At 38.4% G+C, this 17,733-nt stretch overlaps 1 long non-coding RNA gene and 1 pseudogene across 1 annotated transcript in view, besides 2 other annotated features; one reads left to right on the top strand and one right to left on the bottom strand.

The window, feature by feature from the left end:
• NFKB1-AS1 (NFKB1 antisense RNA 1) overlaps positions 1-17,733 on the top strand; it is an 83,885-nt gene that overhangs the window by 33,242 nt on the left and 32,910 nt on the right. The window lies entirely within an intron of this gene.
• Positions 4,721-5,221: an enhancer, noted in NCBI's record as "OCT4-H3K27ac-H3K4me1 hESC enhancer chr4:103385181-103385681 (GRCh37/hg19 assembly coordinates)". NCBI's record gives its function as "activates a minimal SCP1, AML or CMV promoter by ChIP-STARR-seq in naive H9 embryonic stem cells {active_cell/tissue: H9 hESC(naive)}" and the evidence as "EXISTENCE:reporter gene assay evidence [ECO:0000049][PMID:30033119]".
• Positions 5,222-5,722: an enhancer, noted in NCBI's record as "OCT4-H3K27ac-H3K4me1 hESC enhancer chr4:103384680-103385180 (GRCh37/hg19 assembly coordinates)". NCBI's record gives its function as "activates a minimal SCP1, AML or CMV promoter by ChIP-STARR-seq in primed H9 embryonic stem cells {active_cell/tissue: H9 hESC(primed)}" and the evidence as "EXISTENCE:reporter gene assay evidence [ECO:0000049][PMID:30033119]".
• Positions 6,895-8,064, bottom strand: LOC100419863 (zinc finger protein 705A pseudogene; annotated as a pseudogene).

Here is a 17,733-nt window from a genome sequence, read left to right as displayed (position 1 = left end):
TCCAGAGGCTGAGGCAGGAGCATCGCTTGAGCACAGGAATTTAAGACCAACCTGGACAGCATAGTGAGACCCTGTCTCAAAATATATGTATATTTATGAAGACACAGAAGAGGATAAAAACTCATAACATTGAAAACTAAGCCTGACAGTTTTTTAAGGTTATTCAAATAATAATAACACCATTCACAATTCATGGCCAGTATGAGTGGTTTTGATCTGTTTGTATTTTATTGTTTTTCCTCTTGAAATGGAATATACCTACATCTTGCAAGTAGGTAGAGAAAGCTACTAACAGCTCCCCTCTCAAATACAACTTTGATTCTCTACCAATGAATAAAAAGTGACGAGGGCTGTTTCTTTACAACCCAGGCATTATTTTTGAGGTATTCAGAGGATTGTTCAAACCCTGTCTTGTTCCATTGGTATCTGTCTTTATATATCCATGTTAAAACTGTAATCTTTATATATTCATTTAGAAAAAAACAAGACAGTTTTCTTAGTTCTTCTGGACAAAATATCATAGACTGAGTAACGGATAAACAATAGAAATTTATTGCTCACACTTCTGGAGGCTGAGGAGTGCAAGACTAAAGTGCCAATAGACTCAGTATCTGGAAAGGGTTCACTCTCTGATCTAGAGATGATGTCTTGTTGCTGTGTCCTCACATAGAAGAAAGTAAGGCAGTGCACTTCCATCTCTTTTGTAAGGGCACTAATCCCATTCATGAGGCCACAGCCATTGTGATTTAATCACTCCCCCAAAAGGCTGCACCTCATAATACTATCACATTAGATAATAGGTTTCAACGTGAATTTTGGGGGGATGTCAACATTTAGACTATGACATTCTGTTCCTGGCCCCCTATAATTCATGGCCCCCTCACATGGAGCATATATTTGTTCCATCCCAATAGCCCCCAGAATTTTAACTTGTTCCAGTACCAACTCAAAAGTCTAAAACTCGGTCTCATCTTAATATCAACTAAATCGGAGATGGCTGAGACTCAAGGTATGATTTATCCTGAGGCAAGTTACTCTCCAGCTGTGAAATCAAACATGTTATATACTTCCAAAATACAATGATGGGACAGGCATAGGATAGACATTTCCATTTCAAAAGGAAGGATTTTTTTTAAAAAGGGGATAGCAGGTTCCAACCAAATCCAAAACCCAATAGGGCAAACGTTAAACCTTAAGACTCCAGAATAATCTTCTTTGACTTGATATCTCATCTTCCAGACACACAGGGGTAGAGGCTGGGCCTCACAGGTCTGAACAGCCCTGCCCTCATGGCTTTGCCGGGTGCAGCCCATGCTGTAGTTGTCATTGTTTGGAGTTGCTTGCTGGTGGCTCTATTTTTGGGGGGTCTCAGAAGAGACTCTGCCTCTATGGCTCCTCTAGACATTGCTCTAGTGAGGACTCTCTGCAGTGGCTCTGAGGCTCTCTGGGTAATCCTTTGAAATCTAGGTGGAGGTAGCCATGTCCTCACAGCTCAAGCACTCTGGTGAGGTGGCACTGTGCAGATGCCACCAAGGTTTACTGCCTGTGCATCTGCACAGAGGAGAAACCTGAGCTGCTCTTGGGCCCATTTGAGCCACAGCTGAGGGGTTGAAGGAGTGCTGCACCAGAATGAGAGGGGCAGAAGTTTGAAATATTTCTGTTCTCAAGGCCCTGGTATTCTGGGCCTGTAATGGACAGGGCAGCTGCTGAAGATCTCGGAAATGTTTTCAGGCCCATTCTCCCATTGCCTTGATGAATAGAAGCAAGCAAGCTTCTGCCCATCCATACTAAATATCCTTTTCAAATAGTGACTTGGCCACACCCTTGCTGTTCGCCTTGAACACAATTTTTCATTCTTTACAACATGGCCAGGCTGAGAATTTTGCAAATCTTTAAGGTCTACTTCCTTGTTTGTTATAAATTCCATCTTTGGTTAGTTTTTCTCTTCTCATATTTTAGTATAAGCAGTCAACAGAAGCCAAGCCATGCTGCACTCTTCGCACTTCGCTTAGAGATTTCTTCCAAATATTTCATCGTTTCCAAGTTCTACCTTCCACAAAGCACTAGGAGATAAACACAATTCAGCCAAGTTGTTGCCACTTTATACAAGAATGGTTTTTTCTTCAGTTTCTAACAATGTGTTCCTTCCATCTGAGACCTCATCAGAATGGCCTTTAACATCCATATTTCTGTCAATATTCTGGTCACAACCACTTAGATAAAGTCTAAGAAGACTGAGGTTTCTTAACAGCTCTCCTTTTCTTCTGAGCCCTCACCAGAATATCAGAATATCGCTTTACTGTCCATTCCAGCAAAACAGGCTTTTTTTTTCAGCCTCTTCCTCCAAATCCTTCCAGACTCTGCTCATTACCCAGTTCCAAAGCCACTTCCACATTTTTAGGTATTTGTTAAAGCAGCACTCCACTTCTCAGTACCAATTTCTATCTTAGTTCATTTATGCTGCTATAAAAAAAATCTTAGGTTGGGTGGTTTAGGAACAGAAATTTAGTGCTCAACCTTTGAGGGTCTGGGAAGTTCAAGATTAAGGCATGAACAGATTCAGTGTCTGATGTTAGCTCCTTCCCTGCTTCAAAGATGATGCCTTCTTATTGTGTCCTCATGTGGTGGAAAGGGCAAGGCAGCTCTGTTATAGCACTGACCCCATTCATTAGGTTGAAATCCTTATGACTTAATCACTTCCTCAAAAGGCGCTACCTCTTAATACTACCACATTAGGCATTAGGTTCCAGCACATGGTTTTTCTGGGGGACATCAACATTTAGATCATAGCAACAGGATATATGGAGTTTTGGCGAGCATGTTAGGCAGAGGGTAGTGTGAATGATAGTGACTCATTACATACAGAGAAGTGCAGTCCTAAAAGAAACTAGATGTACTTAGCATAGATATTAGGAAAGCTTTGGACCATTAATTTTACATATTCTGTGGGATGAGAAGTTCAAAGAAGTTGAAGTTGACAGCCTAGGTCTGAGAAGACCCCAACTCAAGCCCTGTAAGACATGAAGATTTAATTAGAATATTTACATGCCAAGTTATCTCCAAGAAATGGCATAAAAAGAGAATTCTATTAACTCCAAAGAAAAGGCTGGGCTGGGCACAGTGACTCACACCTGTAATCCCAGTACTTTGGGAGGTCAAGGCAGGAGGATCACTTAAGACCAGGAGTCCAAGACCAGCTTGAGCAACAAATTGAGACCCTGTCTCTACAAAAATAAATAATAAATAAATAAATAAATAAATAAGCCAGGCATAGTGGCATGCACCTGTGTTCCCAGCTACTTGGGTGGCTGAGGTGGGAGGCTTGAGCCTGGGAGGTTAAGGCGGCAGTGAGCTAAGATTGTACCACTGCACTACAGCCTGGGCAACAGAGCAAGAACCTGTCTCAAAAAAGAAAAAAAAAAAAAAAAAGAAAAGAAAAGCCTAAGGGGTGAGGTAGGATCATGGACTTTGAATGTTGGTATTTACATGGAAAAAATTCTTTTTTCATGGAATTGGAGAGGGAAAAAAACTTCTGTGTATGCTTTTAAAAAGAAAATGACAAGAAAAGCTGATTTTTTTCTCCGATGATTCAGAGAGGGAGTACATATTTTTTAAATGATTTACTACTAGAACCAGGAAAATATTTTGGTAAACATCTTGGCAGTTATTAAAACAGTAAGATAATCTTTATGAAACTGGAACAGAAAGCCAAGAGGAGAGTAGAAATTAACCTAAAGACATAGTAGTGTGAAATGTACAGAAATGTGCTGGAGATAAAATCAGCTGCCAGAGAAGAGGAAATTGTCATGAAAATGAAAAATGCAATAGAATTAAAATCAACAATGTAGTTAGTAAAAGCAGACTTGTTATAACAAAAAAATTTAATCAGTGATGTGGTGGACTTACTTGAGAAGGTTTTGCAGAATGTAAGAGTAGACTAAAAAATATGTGTCAAGTTGACACGTAAAATCAACCATCGCATTAGATTTAAATAATTGTTGTAAGTTTGGTTGTAAAAATGAAATGCAAACATTGGAAATTGTTCTTAAAAGAAGACAGTGGAAAAACTACATATAGAATCAAATCACATTAATGTGGATCTGAATGTCCAGATAACATGAAGAAAGACTATGACTAAGTGAGAAAAATGTGAACTGGGAGAAAGCAAAAAGATAGTTACTTTTTAAAATCTTATGTGAAAGTTAGTAAAGAATGAAAAAGAATAATTTTTAAACACTAATATCAATAGAACTTAAAAGAGAGTTGATATCTTCCAAAGCTGCAGAAGATAAAATCAACCCAAAGAGCAAATGACAGAAAACAGAGGAAGTGGCATAGAAACCTGAAAAATAGAAAGAAAACAGCAAGAAAGAAAAAAGAAACAATACCCGCAGATAGCATAACAACACAAATGATATCAGTCCTGATAATAAATTTAAATGAGTTATACTACCCAGTTAAAACAGAGTTCTCCAAATATGGTTAAAAAACAACTGCTTAAAAAACCTTTGCTGCTTCCAAAAAGCACATCTAAAACAAACATAATTTTATTTATTTTATTTATTGATTGATTTATTATTTACTTATTTTAATAGGTTTTGGGGGAACAGGTGGTGTTTGGTTACATGAATAATTTCTTCAGTGGTGATTTCTGGGATTTTGGTGCACCCATCACCTGAGCAGTGTACACTTTATCAATGTGTAGTCTTTTATCCCTTGTCACCCCCCACCCTTTCCCCCAAGTCCCCAAAGTCCAATGTATCATTCTTATGCCTTTGCATCCAAAGAGTTTAGCTCCCACAGATGAGTGGGAACATGTGATATTTGGTTTTCTCTTTCTGAGTTACTTCACTTAGAATAATGGTCTCCAATTCCAGCCATGTTGCAGCAAATGCCATTATTTTGTTCCTTTTTCACGGCTGAGTAGTATTCCATGGTGTGTGTGTGTGTGTGTGTGTATATATATATATATACACGTATGTATATACATGTGTATATACATGTATACGCGTATGTATATACATGTGTGTATATACATGTATACGCGTATGTATATACATGTGTGTATATACATGTATACGCGTATGTATATACATGTGTGTATATACATGTATACGCGTATGTATATACATGTGTGTATATACATGTATACGCGTATGTATATACATGTGTGTATATACATGTATACGCGTATGTATATACATGTGTGTATATACATGTATACGCGTATGTATATACATGTGTGTATATACATGTATACGCGTATGTATATACATGTGTGTATATACATGTATACGCGTATGTATATACATGTGTGTATATACATGTATACGCGTATGTATATACATGTGTGTATATACATGTATACGCGTATGTATATACATGTGTGTATATACATGTATACGCGTATGTATATAATCAGTGATTATATACTACGTATATATGTATACATGTATATATATGTGTATACATGTATATATATATGTATATGTATCTCCTCACATCTTGAGGAAATACTGTAGTCAACATGGAATATACTTCAGTTACCTTTATTCTTCAGTCCACATCAATGAATGGAAGAGAAATTGTAAGGCATGTATGTAGCAAAGACTTGTTAGTGATCTGATCATAATTGACATGAGAGAGCTGAAACTGTCAACATAATAAACTAAAAGTCTTAAGCAACAGCTTTGACTTAAAACATGTGGGACTTTCAGGTAGAGAATCTCTAGCTCTGCATTCAGTGTGAAAATGTTTTTTATTTGCAATTTATTGTCAAATAACATAAGAAAGCTTTACTTGGATGAACCCTTTATTTGTATTTTCTGTGACTAAACATTCAGCCAAGCACCAGTTTTGATGTTCACAAGAAAACACAGTGATAAAATGTTGCTAAAATGGAAAATAAGAGAGGAAAGCCTTTATAAGCTAAATAAGAAAGGAAAATCTTACCGAGAGCAATGAATTCTCTTGAAATACCAAATACTTATTACTGGAGAAATTATGCAATGAAAAATCATGAGAAATCCTTTCTTCATAGAGCAACACTTGTGGCACATGTCAAATTTCACACTGGACAAAACACAGTCAGCATCTTGAAATGAGAAAACTCTTCAGTGGTAATTCATTTCTTAGTTGACATTAAGTTTCTCACATTGAGGAGCTATCAAACCTGAAAATCACTGTAGAGAAACCTGATAGATTTCTCATCAGAAAAGTGAGTCAAGAAGGTGGACCTCTAGAAAAAACTCTTAGCACATAGTTTAGCAAAATAATTCAGAAATTTGAGAAAATGTCTATTCATAAAAATGTGGCATGTAAATGTATAATAGCAAATTGACCTGGGAATAAATTGAATGCAGAATTATATAAGAAATTTCATTAAACTTTTCCAAAAGATCAATACTTACAAATATTGAAATAATGCAAAAATAATACTTACAAAATAATTATAAAATAATACTTACAAATATTGAAATATATATACGTTATATATAACACATATATATACACATTTTCTTTTTTCCAACAATATATGTATATATGTAACATATATGTATATATGTTACATATATACATATAGAGCTAGAGACTCTCTATATAGAGATTCCATGTATACATATAGAGCTAGAGATTCTCTACCTGAAAGTCCCACATGTTTTAAGTCAAAGCTGTTGCTTAAGACTTTTAGTTTATTATGTTGACAGTTTCAGCTCTCTCATGTCGTTTATGATCAGATCACTAACAAGTCTTTGCTACATACATGCCATACAATTTCTCTTCCATTCATTGATGTGGACTGAAGAATAAACGTAACCGAAGTATACTCCATGTTGATTACAGTATTTCCTCAAGATTTGAGTCCTTTGGCATGTTTAGATGTTACAACTATAGCTGAAGTCTCTTCCACATTCCTTACATTCGTCATTCCTAACACCATGTCATCTAAAGTCAGAATATGTTCTGAAGATGTTTATAATTTTCTCTCTAGGGTGAATTTTCTCATGCTATTTAAGATTAGTACATTGACTGAAGTCTTTCACACATAAATGGCATTCAAATGGCTTTTCTCCAGTGCATGTTCTCTCATGTCATCTAAGGTCAGAAGATAGACTGAAGGCTTTCCCACATAGAAGACATACATGTAGTTTCTCTCCAGTGTGATTTTTTTTATGCTCTCTAAAGCCAGAGCTCTGACTAAAGGCTTTCCCACCTTTATCACATTCATAACATCTCTTTCCAAGGTAAGTTCTCTAATGTCTTTGAAGGTTTAAGGATTGAATATAGGCTTTCCCACACTGATGACACTTATGTGGTCTCTCTCCCATGTGAGTTTTCTCATGTCTTCTAAGGTGAGAACACTGAATGAAGGCTTTTGCACATAGATGACATGCATATGGTCTCTCTCCAGTGTGAGTCAACTTGTGCTGCCTAAGGTGAAAGCGATTAGTATAAGCCTTTTCACATAGATTACGTTGATATGACTTACCTTTAGTATGAATTTATGTTGTTTAGGGGACAACTGATTACTAAAGGATTTTCCACACTGTTTGCTGATGTAGGGTTTCTTTCCACTGTGAGTTAACAAACATGGAGTCATTGTGGAACTGTGAGTGCAATCTTCTCCCAAATCATTATGTTCAAAGGGATCCTCTGGAATGAGAGATTTCTCCATTGTCAAACTGGTGGATGAGTCTTTTCTGATGATAGGATGCATGGATATCATGTGTTTTTTCTTAAGGGCAGTTTCCCTGTCTGGACTCTGGCCTTGAAGAAATTCTCTTCCTTCCCTCCATAGCTCTTTTCTTTGTTCCAGCTACAAAATTATATAGGATTTGCTTATCTGATGCCCGAGGGACACCAGGTGACTGATGTTTTCCAGCATCACATCTCTGTACAGCTTTCTCTTGGATATGTCCATCAAGAGAAAGCTCCACTCTTCTGGGCGAAGTCAATAGCTACATCTTCAAAGGTCACTTTCTTTAGTGAATGCATTGTCAAGAGCTCAGTTTCTCTCTGTCTTCTTCTGGATTTTCCCTTTTAGATGTTTCAGGCACTAAGAAAGAGCTGAGTCAAGTTAGACAGCTGAGCTGAGTGAAATACAGAGGTAGAGGAAGTAGCAGAAAGGCACGGGGAGCTCGCTGGATCCCCAAGTAGCCCATTCCTGCCTGGCACCACAGGCATCCATCAGGAGGATGGCCAGAGGAGCAGGGGGTAAAACTTCACGGGAAGGTCTTCTCTAGCTGAACTTTGTAACAATTTGAGCAGAACGAGAAGCCTCCTAGCCAGAATTCATATATTAAATTTTCTTTATCCACTCGTTGATTGATGGGCATTTGGGCTGGTTCCACATTTTTGCAATTGCAAATTGCACTGCTATAAACATGTGTGTGCAAGTATCTTTTTTGTATAATGACTTATTTTCCTCTGGGTAAATACCTAGTAGTGGGATTGCTGGATCAAGTGGTAGATCTACTTTTAGTTCTTTAGGGAATCTCCACACTGTTTTCCACAGTGGTTGTACCAGTTTATATTCCAATCAACAGTGTAAAAGTCTTCCCTTTTCACCACATCCATGCCAACATCTATTATTTTTTGATTATGGCCATTCTTGCAGGAGTGAGGTGGTATCACATTGTGGTTTTGACTTGAGTTTTTCTGATAATTAGTGATGCTGAGCATTTTCCATATGCTTGTTGGCCATTTGTATATCATCTTTTGAGAATTGTCTATTCACATCCTTAGCCCACTTTTTGATGGGATTGTTCATTTTTTCTTGCTGATTTGTTTGAGTTCTTTGTAGATTCTGGATATTAGTTCTTTGTCAGATGGATAGATGAGGATTTTCTTCCACTCTGTTGGTTATGTTAACCCTGCTGATTATTTCTTTTGCTGTGCAGAAGCTTTTTACTTTAATTAAGTCCCATCTATTTATCTTTGTTTTTGTTGCATTTGCTTTTGGGTTCTTGATCATGAAGTCTTTGCCTAAGCCAATGTGTAGAAGGGTTTTTCTGGTGTTATCTTCTAGAATCTTTATGGTTTCAGGTTTTAGATTTAAGACTTTGATCCATCTTGAGTTGATTTTTGTATAGGGTGACAGGTGAGGATCCAGATTTAGTCTTCTACATGGGGCTTGCCAATTATCCCAGGACCATCTGTTGAATAGGGTGTCCTTTCCCCGTTTTATGTTTTTGTTTGCTTTGCTGAAAATCAGTTGACTGTAAGTATTTGGCTCTATTTCTGGGTTCTCTATTCTGTTCCATTGGTCTATGTGCCTATTTTTATATCAGTACCATGCTGTTTTGGTGACTATGGCCTTAGAATATAGTTTGAAGTCAGGTAATTGTGATGCCTCCAGATTTGTTCTTTTTGCTTAGTCTTGCTTTGGCTATGTGGGTTCCTTTTTGGTTCCATATGAATTTGAGGATTGTTTTTTCTAACTCTGTGAAGAATGATGGTGGTTTTTTTTTTTTTTGAGATGGAGTTTTGTTCTTGTTGTCCAGGCTGGAATGCAATGGCACAATCTCAGCTCACTGCAACCTCTGCCTCCTGGGTTTAAGAGATTCTCCTGCCTCAGCCTCCCTAGTAGCTGGGATTACAGGCGCCCAACACCACGTCCAGCTAATTTTTTGTATTTTTAGTAGAGACGGAGTTTTGCTATGTTGGCCAGGCTGGTCTTGAACTCCTGACCTCAGGCGATCCACCCGCCTCAGACTCCCAAAGTGCTGGGATTACAGGCATGAGCCACCGTGCCCAGCTAATGGTGGTATTTTTATGGGAATTGCATTGAATCTCTAGATTGCTTTTGGCAGTATGGTTATTTTTCACAATATTGATTCTACCCATTTATAAGCATGGGATGTGTTTCCATTTGTTTGTGTCATCTATAGTTTCTTTCAGGAGTATTTTGTAGTTTTGCTTGTAGAGGTCTTTCACATTCTTGGTTAGGTATATTCCTAAGTATTTTATTTTATTTTTGCAACTATTATGAAAGGGTTTGAGTTCTTGATTTGATTCTCAGCTTCGTCACTGTTGGTGTATAGCAGAGCTACTGATTTGTGTACATTAATTTTGTACCCTGAAACTTTGCTGAATTCATTTACTAGTTCCAGGAGCTTTTTGGATATGTCTTTAGGGTTTTCTAGGTATACGATCATATCATCAGCAAACAGTGACAGTTTGACTTCCTCTTTACTGATTTGGATGCCCTTTATTTCTTTCTCTTGTCTGATTGCTCTGTCTAGGACTTCCAGTGCTATGTTAACTAGAAGTGGTGAAAGTGGGCATCCTTGTCTTGTTCCAGTTTTCAGGGGGAATGTTTTAAACTTTTCCCCATTCAGTATAATGTTGGCTGTGGGTTTCTCGCAGGTGGCTTTTATTACCTTAAGGCATGTCTCTTCTGTGCCAATTTTGCTGAGGGTTTTAATCATAAAAGGATGCTGGATTTCGTCAAATGCTTTTTCTGTGTCTCTTGAGATGATCATGTGATTTTTGTTTTTAATTCTGTTTGTGTGGTGTATCACAGTTATTGACTTGCCTATGTTAAACCATCCCTGCATCCCTGGTCTGAAACCCAGTTGATCATGGTGGATTATCTTTTTGATATGCTGTTGGATTTGGCTCACTAGTATTTTGTTGAGGACTTTTGCATCTATGTTCATCAGGGATATTGGTCTATAGTTTTCTTTTTTTGTTGTGTCCCTTCCTGGTTCTGGTATAAGGGTGATGCTGACTTCATAGAATGACTTAGGGAAAATTTCCTCTTTCTCTATCTTTTGGAATAGTGTCAGTAGGATTGGTACCAATTCTTCTTTGAATGCCTGATAGAATTCAGCTGTGAATCCTTCTGGTCCTGGACTATTTTTATTGGCATTTTTTTTAACCATTTCAATCTTGCTTCTTGTTATTGGTCTGTTCAGTGTTTCTATATCTTCCTGGTTTAATCTAGGATAAATTTCCAGAAATTTATCCATCTCTTCTAGGTTTTCTACATTATGCATGTAAAGGTGTTCATAGAAGCCTTGAATATACTTTCATATTTCTTTGGTATTGGTTGTGATATCTTCCATAAAACAAACATAATTTTTTTAAAAAAGAGGGTGGACAAAGATTTATAAGGTGACATTTAAAAACAGATGTAATTAATGATTTCAGACACATAGATATCAACGGTCAAAACGCTAAATGGTTAAAAGAAGGGTTATTTTTATCATGAACACTACATTGCACAGTGAAGTTATAACAGTTATAAAACTTTATGTATTGACTAACATCAACACCTACAGTAAAAAATTATTAGGAGAAAAGGAGAAATGTGCAGAAATACTGTAGCTCCAGGAAAATTTAACAGCCCTATCTCAGGCTTTGAATGATACAAGTGGTCACTTGTTTTTTTGGCTTCACATTCTTACCCTTGAGAACTGCCCTTCTTCTAACCCTGAGAATGTTTTGGTGGCGTTAATCAAGAGACTGTATCTTCCCCACCAAAGCACTGAGCAAATTTAGTGGACACTGGATGCTCCACTTCGATTCTTCGGGATTCCTTTTTGCCAGTTTTGTAAGCCCATTCCCAGCTTTTGTGTGCTTTGCCAGTAAGGCTTTGCACCTGAGCCCTTTGGAGGCTGGACCTTGGGCACTGGGTCTGCCTTGTCTACATGTAAAGCTGAAAGTGCCTGGAAGTTTGATGGCCTTCCAATCTCTCCACACCCAGGGCTTCTTTGCCCCAGGATGACATGCTAGGAGGTATAATTTATGCTCTAGAGCTCCCATATCAGGTTTTGGAAATTGCAAGACTTTTTTCCCCTTCTCTAGCTTTCCCCACTCCCTTACTGTTTTCTCTCAGAAGCATATACTTAAGAAATCACTCTCAATGGAATCTTTGATTTAAGATGTGAGTCTGTGAAACTTAACCTGAAATGGCACATAGGCTGAGCTGACCAATCAGAGTGGCTTATCTTTCTGACTCAAGAATTGGCCAGAGGTGGGCAATTTACCAAAACTGGGGCAATCAGAGTCCTTTATCTTGTCTTGATTTGTGTGTTGGAAGAAAGAGTGTTTCTCTATTCCTGTGATTACAATATGTAAGGAACATACAAGGCTAGATTTCCTAGAAGCTGATCTTGTTGTACATAGAGCCTACCTGAGAAAAGAAGAGAGAGGCAAGCAAAATTACAAGAAGAAGCAAGAAAGATAGTACCAATAAGAATTATTAATATAACAAGGATTTCCAAAACATAAACTTCAGCAAAGACTAGATCTAGGGATTCAAATGATGACTTATCATTTGAATGGCCCCAGAGTGCCTGTGCCTTTGGGTGGTGTGACATCTCAGTGTCACCTTGTTTGGACTGATGATGCTCAAGCTCTGAAAACCAGACTAGATGATGGATGTCTTGGCAGATGCCTATGTGGATGGCCGACATTGAAGAGCAGACCTGCTTCCTTCCTTGGCACTAGGTAAACAACCTTAATTAAAGAAGAGAAGAATTGAGCCCCAAATTCCACTTCTGGTGGAAAAGGGACTTGAAATAGATATTAAATTGATTTGTAGAAAAATAAACTAGGCTGTATTTCTGCTGCGTTATGATTGAATGTATCCTCCAAATTTGATGTGTTGGAAAGTTAATACCCAATGTGGCACTATTAAAAGGTGAGGACTTTAAGAGGTGATGGGATCATGAGTGCTCTGCCTTCAGTAATGAATCAATCCATTAATGGAACAACAGATTAAAGGGTTAATGGATTAATGGTGGCTATACAAGAAAAGAGAGACCTGAGCTAGCACAACCAGTCTCCTTGCCATGTGATGCCCTGTGGCCTCAATTCAGGAATCTTCAGAGTCCCCACCGGCGCAAAGGCTCTCACCAGATTTGGTCCCTCACCCTGAGACATCTCAGCCTCCATAACTGTACAAAATGCTTTTCTTTTATTTATAAGTTACTCATTCTAGGTATTCTATAAGCAACAGAAAATGGACTAAAACAGAAAATTGGTAGTGAAAAGTGAGGTGTTGCTGATAACAAATACCTGAAAATGTGGAAGCTGCTTGGGAACTGGGTAATGGACAGGGGCTGGAAGAATTTGGAAAAATAGGCTAGAAAAAAGCCTAGATTCTGGTGAAGCCTTAGAGGATAAGAAGACTAGGGAAAGTTTGGAAGTCCTTAGAGGTTGGTGAAGTGGTCATGACCAGAATGTTGATAGCAATGTTGACAGCAAAGGCCATGCTAATGAGACCTCAGATGGAAATGAGGAATAAGGTGTTGGGAACTGGAACACAGGTCACCCTTGCTACACCATAGCAAAGAACTCAGCTGCGTGGCCACACCCTAGGGCTTTGTGAAAAGCCGTCAACTTAAAAGTGACAGAATAGAATATCCCATAGAAGAAATTTCTAAGCGGCAAAGTGTTCAGGCTGCTGTGTGGTTACTTCTAACTGCCAGTGGTAAACTTCCAGAGAAAAGGGAAACAGTGGAAAAATTTGGAAATTTATCAGCCTGACCATGTGAAATAGCATTTTCAGGAGAGGAATCCAAGAGTATGGCCTAGAGAGACCATCTGCTAAGGAGATTGGTACAGACAGCAGAAATCATCAAGAGAATGGAAGAAAGACCCAGAAGGCATTTCAGAGATCTTCGGGGCTGCCCCTCCCATCGCAGGCTTGCAGGCCTGGGAGGGCAGAGTAGTACTGGGATACAGGTCCAGGGAGGGCTCCCTGCAGGTTTGTAGTAGGCTCCTTGCCTCTGACTCTGCGCCCCACACCAGGCACAGCTGAGCTGCAGCTGCAGAAGTTATAAACCTTGGCAGAGTCCACGTGGTACTAATTCTGCAGGCTTGCAGACAGCAAGAGCTATAAATGTTTGGCAGCCTCTACCCAGATTTCAGAGAATGTTATGGAAATCCTGGGGACCTAAGCAGAGACTTGTTACAGGGGCTGGAACCACCACAGAGAGACCCCAGTAGGCAACGCGCAGCTGAAATGTGGGGTTGAGGCACCGCAGAGAGTCCCCACCAGGGCAATGCCTAGTGGAGCCATGGTCACTGCAGAGAGTCCTCACTAGGATAAAGCCTAGTGGAGCTCTGGGACCAAGACTGCCACCATGACCTCAGAACTGTGAAGTCACCAGCAGTATGCAACATCTACTTAGGAAAGCTTCAGGCACTGGACTCCAATCCAAAGGAGCAGCGGCTGCACCCAGCAAAGCCATAGGAGTGCAGCTTCCTGAGGCCTTGAGGGCCCAACTCCTGCTCCAGCGTGTCCAGGAGGCAGTGTGTGAACTCAAAAGAGATTATTCTCCAGCTCTAAGATACAATGTCTGTCCTGCTGGGTTTTGGATTTGCTTGGGGCCTGTTATTCTTTTCTTTTTGCCTATTTCTCCCGTTTGGAATGGGAATGTTTGCCTTAATCCTATACTACCATTGTGTAGACTGTAGGCTTTGGGCTTTTGAGTTGGTGCTGCACCAAGTTAGGATTTGGGGGCTATAAGGATGGAGTGGGTGTATTTTGCATGTGAAAAAGAAATGAATTTGGGGGGCTGGGGTGGAATGCTAGGGCTTGAATGTTCCCCAGATTTCATGTGTTGGAAACTTAATTTTCAATGTATAATTTTCTATATTTATATATATTTTTTCTTTGAAAATTACTCTGTTTCAGTTATTCTATTATAAGCAACAGAAAAGAGACTAAGATATGCTGCATTCGAGTTTGTGACTAAAATTTAAACTCACTCTACTTCCTATTAACATTTGTGGGATGTGGTCAAAGGAGCTTGGGAAAGCAGAACTTTACTTTAACTCCAATTCCCCACCCCCAGCATTTCAGTCTTTGTCATGTAACAGGGCTTATGGAGCTGGTATAATATTTATTTTTAAAAGAAATATATCAATTTCATATCAAGTTTTTTTGGCTTTTGCATTCAGTTTAATAACTGTATTATAATATTTACAATATAATCTTGCTCTTCTGGCTATTCTAGCTCCTTTTCTTCCCAGGGCCTAGGAGAACTTTCCTTTTACTGACGTAAAACTTTATGGTCTAAACTGACTTACATGACTGTTCATTGTCTTGCTACAAAATCTTATATTTGGATGCAACTGTTGGTGATACCCCAGTTCTTCTTTTTCTTCTTCTTCTTTTTTATTTTGAGACAGGGTCTCGGTTTGTTGCTCAGGCTGTAGTGCAGCGGCCCCATCATGGCTCACTGTAGCCTCAACCTCCTGGGGGCAAGTGATCCTCCTGCCTCAGCCCCTCCCTGCTCCCCTTCCTGAAGTAGCTTAGACTACAGACATATGCATCACCATGCCTGGCTAATTTTTGTTTTGTCTTAGAGATAGGGTTTTGCCATGTTGGCCAGGCTGATCTTGAATTCCTGGGGCCAAACAATCTGCCCAGCTAGGCCTCCTAAAGCGATGGGATTACAAGCATGCACCACCATGACCTTTCCAGTTCTTTTTGCATTTATTTTGTAACCCAGGCAAGTAATTACTTAGGGAAGACTAAGTGAAAGTCATGTGTCTCAAAAAAGAATGAGGAAAACACATTGATAATTTAAAAATGCAATTGCCTGCTTACATAAATTATATATTGAAGTCTATGAATACATTTCCTCCCAAGTATATGTATTTTTATGTCCAACTTTTGGGCTCCCTCCCTCACTTGTGGTCTGAATTGTGGTGGAGGGTATTAGATACCTATTTTTATGTGTTTGAGGAATGTGTAAGTGTTCAGTGCCTACATTTTGAAGATAAGTGAAATTAATCGATTTACCAAATAGATGATGAGTTGAAGTATGTTTCCATCTTCTTCAGGACTGCCTGTATGGCTCAGGATGTGGAAGAAATTGCTAAATAGTCTATCCATCTCCCTTGACACCATCTTTAGTGAAAATTCCACCCCAAATTTGGCATAAAGTCTTCTGAGTTACAGAACTATTGCCAGTTTAAAAAAAATGACATTCATAGGTATTTTAATGGAAAGTTGGAGAGAAGCAACTTAGGCAAATCTAACCTGCTTCCTAAAAAGTCCCTAAAAAAAAAATCTCTCTTTAATTTCCTATTGTTACCAAATGTATTTTTCTCCCCTTGATTTCTAATAACTGACATAAGCAGGTTTTGCTTGCACTTCATGTTGCCACAAAATTGTATTATTCCATTTTTTTCTCTTGCTTTTCCAAATATTTGTGCCACCCTAAGCATTTTCTCCTTTTTCCAAGCTATACAGATTCATAGATATTGGTATCTTTTCTTAAGCCCGCTGTAGTTAAACCTGCATCATATTGAGCCAGATAGAATCTCATGAAACAGTCATATCAAACAATGAAACATATGGCTATATGCAATTCATAGTTTATTCTTATTTTTAGCAATATAGACTTTTTTTGCCTAAAAAGAAGGAAGACATCAAAAGCAAATATTTAAAAATTCTTATGTAAAGTATACATAGTAATCATCTATATGGATGTAGCAAATAACATTCTTAAAATTACAAATGTTTTTGATTGAATTCTTTAAATTTTCCCATCTGTCATATAAAAATGTTGGATTATATTATCTCTATGTACCTTTTCTAGCTCTAAATTTCCCATTTGAAACCTTAGTATTAGTAGAATTTGGTGGATTTTTTGAAAGCGGTTTGGGTCACAACATTACACATATTCTTTCCTAGGAAAGAATATGTGACAATTAACAAGTCTATTCTTCAGAATTTTGAATCATACCAAGCCACACATGATTCATTGTTCATCTTTTAGTTTACTGTAGATGAAGAATTCACAAGATTTTAAAAAAATGAATACATTATCCCAGAATAAATTTTGGTTTCTGAAGTTTTGATATCTGTTCTAATAATGAAAATAGTACACTGATCATGAGGTAGAATTTTATAGAAAAGGATAGTAGGGCTTTTAATGTATATATTCTCAAGTCTTAAAAGTGTATCTCAACAGGATAAATGCAGATCAACTTTTTAAAAAAAACTAAAAAAGAGTTTCTTTTATCTAATGTGTCCTAATTCATAATTTAAAAATAGTGATGCATATGTTGAATATCTTTCTAAGTAGGAATATAGGTAAAGAGACTGATTGATGATAAGGCGGGAAGCCTTTAAAACTGAACACTGAGCGGGGCTGTGGCAACTAGAATAATCACATTCATTGTGATTCTTATTCTTAGACTGAACTCTTAGAAAGGGCACTTCATTCCTGATTATCTGGCTGCCAGGTTCATCTGCTATGATTTCCGAGACATTTATGGCTGTTATATTTGTAATGATTTTCCTATGACAAAAGTATGAGAAGCAAAAATTGCACTGCTATTGGTTAGTGAAATAACAGCTGCCCCTGAGCAAATCTTTCTCAGCAGTGGGAATGGGTTAAAAAATGGAAATAGGACGGGCGTGGTGGCTCACGCCTGTAATCCCAGCACTTTGGGAGGCCGAGGTGGGCGGATCACGAGGTCAGGAGATCAAGACCATCCCGGCTAAAACGGTGAAACCCCGTCTCTATTAAAAATACAAAAAATTAGCCGGGCGTAGTGGTGGGCGCCTGTAGTCCCAGCTACTCGGGAGGCTGAGGCAGGAGAATGGCGTGAACCCGGGAGGCGGAGCCTGCAGTGAGCAGAGATTGTGCGGCTGCACTCCAGCCTGGGTGACAGAGCGAGACTCTGTCTCAGAAAAAAAAAAAAAAAAAGAAAGAAAGAAATATTTACTGAGTTTTCATACTCTGTAGTTGGCACCATACC

This window comes from Homo sapiens, chromosome 4 (genome assembly GCF_000001405.40).
Source record: "Homo sapiens chromosome 4, GRCh38.p14 Primary Assembly".
NCBI lineage: Eukaryota > Metazoa > Chordata > Mammalia > Primates > Hominidae > Homo > Homo sapiens.
This window is presented reverse-complemented; position numbering and strand designations above follow the sequence as displayed.